The sequence below is a fragment of the Homo sapiens genome, chromosome X, assembly GCF_000001405.40.
Source record: "Homo sapiens chromosome X, GRCh38.p14 Primary Assembly".
Lineage (NCBI taxonomy): Eukaryota > Metazoa > Chordata > Mammalia > Primates > Hominidae > Homo > Homo sapiens.
Window position 1 is genome coordinate 131,302,313 of NC_000023.11, and position 5,579 is coordinate 131,307,891.

Sequence of the window (5,579 nt, forward strand, 5' to 3'; positions counted from 1 at the left end):
TCCCTGGTTCTTCTGCCTCCTCAATCACAGCCATCAGGACTGAACCACAGTAAGTCCCTTCCCCCTCCTCAACCCTTCTTTTTAGAAAGGGCTTCATATCCCTGGGAAAGGAAATAGAATATGAATTAACTAACACAGACCCTTAAGCTGAGGCCTTGTAAAAAAATGGCCCAGGTTCAAAAGAAGCAATTCTAATAAAGCAATAAAATGAACTTCTTTAGTCCCGCTAATACTTGTTGGCATTAGACATGGGAATTTGAGCACAGCTCCTCATGGGTGGGCCGAAAGTGCACCTGTAACACTAATCTAGGATGCTTAAATATCAGGTTCCCATTTACCAAGAAAAAAGGAGGGGGGAGTTTGTTAATACAAAAGCTTGAACATAGAACATTACCGCCTGAATGATTAAACCTATTTCAGAGGGCTGAAATCCTAATGACACCAATTTGTCAAAACATAAGAGTTTTAATGGGGAGCAGGAAGGGTAGGCAGTGGTATGCAACGTAGGAATCAACAACTGCGTACTTTAAAACAAAACATAAAAGCTCTATCTGGCTGAAATTCTCAGAATCACTATGGGAAATTAGGTGTAATTGACTGATGTGATATCATGTAATAGAAATAGGACTGAGTGCTCAGTATCCTCACAGTTAAAACAAGTAAATAAAATGAGTTGGCAGTGCATAAAATGCTTATGGTGTGTAACAGTTCATGTAAATTGTCTACATCCTTGATTTAAACATTTTTGTAAACATAAATTTCTATGCTAGAAAGTTACAGATGGAAGAGAAGATGAAACAATAAAATAGAAAGGGCACGTAAAAAGGGAAGGGAAGGACAGATGGAAAAGAGAGGGAGGGGAGAAGGGGACAAAAGAAAAAGAAGAGGGGAAAGGAGGTACAAAAATAGAGTAAAAATAAATTTAAATGGGAAAATAAGAAAACAGGAGAGAGGGAGATAAGACGCAAATATTTGAGTGACTACGTCTCCATTTTCATAAAATCATCAAAGAAGTGAGAAACTACAGGGTTGTTTTTCGAATTTTGATCACAACAAATCCTTGTAATAGTGCTGATAAATTAGACTGGGTGAAAAGGGAGAGAAGTGTGAGTCCTGATGAGTTCTTGGTCCAGTCATCTCTTCCAGGACCCGTTCATCTCTTTCCAGGTACACTTGCTCTGAGTAGAGGGGCTAGGCAAGTACACCAGCACTGCTACTCGAATGCTCACAGCAACTTTATTACAATAGCCTTAAACTGGAAACATCTCAAATGCCCATCAACTGAGGAAAGAATAAATTGTATTACATTCAAACTACAGAATACTACTTAGCAAGAGAGAAAGAGGAGAGAGAGAGAGAGAGAGAGAGAACAAACTACTGATACATACAAGGACTTCAATGAATCTGAAAGAAATACTATGTTAAGTGAAGGGAGCCAGATCCAAAAGCTTATATATTGTATAATTCCATTTATGTGGCATTTTAAAAACGGGAAACTATAGGTAGGAGAACACACTGGTGATTGCCACTGGTCAGGGTTAGAAGTACACAATTTCTGCAAAGGGAAATGAGGCAACTTTTGGAGGAAAAGGAAATCTTCTTTTTCTTGATTCTGGTGGTGGTTATATGTCTATGTGTGTTTGTCACAACTCAGAACTGTATGCTTACAATTGGTGAATTCTAAATTATACATCAATAATGCCAATAAAAACAAATAAACAAGCAAAAACAAATGTCCTAGGTCAATATGCTACTAGTGGTGTTGCCCTTACTTCTTTCCCCTCTCCAGGATGTGTGTAGAAAGAAGATATCTAGGGGCCCAAAATAGAGATTGGAGATTTAAGGATGCTTGTTCACAGAATTCTTCATTGTCTTATTAATCAAGTTGAGATTTCTTACTCTAACATTCAAGGTCCTCCATAATGTACCCCACTCTGCCTCTCCAACCTTGACTGCCAACATTCTTACATGCATCTTCTTGACTATTATCAGGCAGTTCTGCTCATTTCATACAACATGCCCTTCCTGCCTACTTTCCTATAATACACATACTATGTTTATTTCAATCAATTTGCCTTGGTTGATGCTGGTTTCCCTCCATGTTCTGGCATGTCTTACCCTTATTTATTCAACAATTTATTGAATGCCTACTATGTGCTAAGTAAAGTGCTAGTAACTGAATATACATTAAAAAGTCTGTCTAAACAAATTCGCTAAAGTCTCTGCCTTCACAGAACTCACAGGCAATTAAGCAGGTCATTACACTGTAGTTTGGAAAGGGCCATACGATAGCGGAAAATACAGGATATTAATAGTCTGGACAAAAGGAAGCCATGCAGACTTGGAAAGATAATCAGGACTTGATTCTCGAAGGAAATAACATCTAAGAAGAGACTTGAAAGATACTTTGGGATGCTCTGGGCACAGTCGGGAGAGTACTCCATGTAGAAAGAGCTACAAGGCAGAAAGGTCTGAAGGTAAGTGAGAGTATGGGAAGAAATTTCAGCATTTAAAATAATTTAAGTACATCATGAACATAGAAGATAAAACAAACAAGACAATGATAGTGGATAGAGATGCTTGAGCCAGGTTACAAATGGCTTTTAACATCATATCAAGGAGTGTGAAATGGAAGAGTGGTATCCTCATGTTGGAGTTGAGAAAGATTATTCAATCTACAGTGTGGAGAATGAATAGAATAAGGAGAGGCAGGGAGACAAGTTAGTAGATGAGGCATTTTTCTAAGCAACATTGACTACAGTGGTGGCAGGTGTAATAGAAAATATATATTTAAGAGATGGGAGTAAAATTGGCATTATCTATCCATAGATTTGATAGTTTCAGTAGAAGAAATAAGGTGGTATCAAGGATGACTCTCAAGTTTCTGTTTGGAAACTTGATGCATAGTGGTACCATTCGCTAAGTTGGGGACACAAGAAAGAGAAGCAGATGATAAATACAAATTCACTCTTGGACGTATCAGCTCATGTTTTTTACCCTTGACCACTCTTGTTCACATCAACCTCCCCTATGGGAAATCCTAGAGCCTGGGCCGTTCCCTTGAGCCTTTGTGTTTGTACAGACTCCTGAAGGAGAATGGAAATCCTTGGGGACAGGGTTTCTGTCTGAGACTTCTATCACCTCACAGGCCCTATCCAGTGCTAAGCATAGAATGAGTTGTCAAAAACACTTACTAATCAATTGAGCCCTGTCACGGGGCAATAAAATGTGATGTGCAGGTGGGCTTGTGTCATACCCACTACTGAAAATGGTTAGCGATAAAGAAGAGTTTCAGTACAAAAACCAAAGAAACATAGCAGGGAAGGTTTAAGAAGTGCCTCAGTTTACCCAATTAGAAAACAATTTCATATTAAATCCAACAGAGTTACTTAATATTTAAATAAGAACTGTTGATAGATTATTTTGTAAAAGAGACAATCCTCTGGTGATCTTAAGAATCATACCCTTTGAGAATCTTCAAGTTGGAAGAATTCTGCAAGGTTTACTAGTCCAACCCCCAGTTGTTACCACAATTCCTTCTATAATATCCTTGCCTGTGGTCATCTAGCTGGTACTTATATACCATTAATGAAAGAGAACTCATTATGTTCAAACTCAACCCATTCCATCTTCAGATAGCTCTGACTGAGTGTTCTTGTTTATAATTAACCTAATTATGTCTCCAAAATGAAAGTTTCATTTATGTATTATTCATATGTTTCAATGCAGAGCTTATAAACCTTTTAGTTTTCCGTTCTTTAGGTCAGCTCTTACCAGTTTCTTCAGCTATTCCTTATATGGTATGGTTTTGCATTCCTTACCCCCCCTGGTCACACATCCGGGTATGTGGCAGTTTATTCATAACTTTCATGTATTCTGGCCCCAGAAATGAGCAAAGTACTGTATTCCAGGTGTCATCTTGAAAGGACAGAGAGCAGCAGGGTTATTGCCTCCCTCATTTTGGAAATTTTTCTCCTGTAAATATAATCTAAACAGATAGCAGCTTTTTTATCTATGGCTAATTGTGGATACCTATTGAATGAGTGTTAACTTCAAACTGTCTTTTACATACACTGCTGCTAAGCTATGATCTGTGGGAATCAAGTAAAAATCTCAAAGTGCAGTTTAAGTTCCCTCTCTTCCCATTTATTTTATCAAATTTTAAAGTGAAAATTAATAGATTACATCTCTCCTCACTGAGGTTCATTTGCCTTTTTCTGTTGGGTACATGAAGATTTTATGTAACAATGATTCTTATATTTATCTTGGAGCTTGCTATGGAGTGAAAATTTTTGTCTCACTAAAATTCATAGGTTGAAACCCCCAATGTGACTGTATTTTGAGATAGGGCCATTATGGGAGGTAATTAAGGTTAAATGAGGTCATAAGGGTGGGGTCCTGATCCAGTAAGATTTGCATTCTTATACGAAGAGACACACTCTCTCACCCTGCAACATAATAGTGAAAAGGCAGCTGTCTGCAAGCCAGGAAGAGAGCCCTTGCCAGAAACTGACCATGCCAGCACCTTGATCTTAGACTTCTAGCCTCCAGAATTGTGAGAAAACAAATTCCTGTTGTTTAAGCCATCTAGTCTGTGGTATTTAGTTATGGCAGCCTGAGCAAATGAATACAGAGCACCAGCTTAGCACAGGGCTTGACATGTTACCAGAGTTTAATGGAAGTCTGGCTATTTAATTGAAAGATGGACATTGTCTACAAACAGTAAAAAGTGAAAATTACTTTACTCATACTTATCGTGCTTTGACTTTTGGCATCTGCAGTAATATGGGACCCTATTATTGGTCATATGAAAGCCAGTTTGGGATCCTGAAATCACACCCAAAAGATCACTGACTACCTTGCTTCACCTTTGAAGGACAATTTCACTGGATATAAAATTATATATTGGTAGAAATTTCTTTAAACAGTATGAAGATTTCACTTCACTCTCTTCTCACTTGTATGGATTCTGACAAGTCTACTATAAGCCTTACATTTTCTTCATCTATAGATAAGGTGTTTTGCCTCCCTGCACTTTGTCTTCACTCAAGATTTTCTCTTTGCATTTGATTTTTGCAGTCTGAATCAAAATGCCCAGGGGTGTGTGTGTGTGTGTGTTCGGTACTTATCTTTCTTGGTGTTCTCTGAACTTACTGGATTTGTAGTTTGGTATCTGTCACTAATTTGTGATGTTCTTGGTCATTTAATGCTTCAAAAATGTCTTATGCTATCTTTTCTCTTTCTTCTCTTTCTGGGATTCTAACTAGATTTTTTACCTCCTTTGATATTATCTTATAGTTATTGTATATTTTGTTCTTTTTCTCCCCTCCTCCTGTCAGAGCCACTGAAAGGATTTTCCTAATTCTCATTATGAGAATATTGTGCAATTCCTGGAGGAAAAGCCCACAAAAGTGTGGAGAGCCCCTCTATGATTTTCCCCCTCATAAACTTCTCACTCTCACACTAGTTCACATTTAATCTCCAGTAATTTTTCATAATTACTAGAGAATTAATTAAATAGTCATACTGTTTATGGTTTCCAGCAGGTCTTCATTAGATAAGCAGATATGAATGCGCCT

The 5,579-nt window shown here is 37.8% G+C and overlaps 1 annotated feature.

Annotated features, from left to right (window-relative positions):
- Positions 4,535-5,034: an enhancer, noted in NCBI's record as "H3K27ac hESC enhancer chrX:130440821-130441320 (GRCh37/hg19 assembly coordinates)". NCBI's record gives its function as "activates a minimal SCP1, AML or CMV promoter by ChIP-STARR-seq in primed H9 embryonic stem cells {active_cell/tissue: H9 hESC(primed)}" and the evidence as "EXISTENCE:reporter gene assay evidence [ECO:0000049][PMID:30033119]".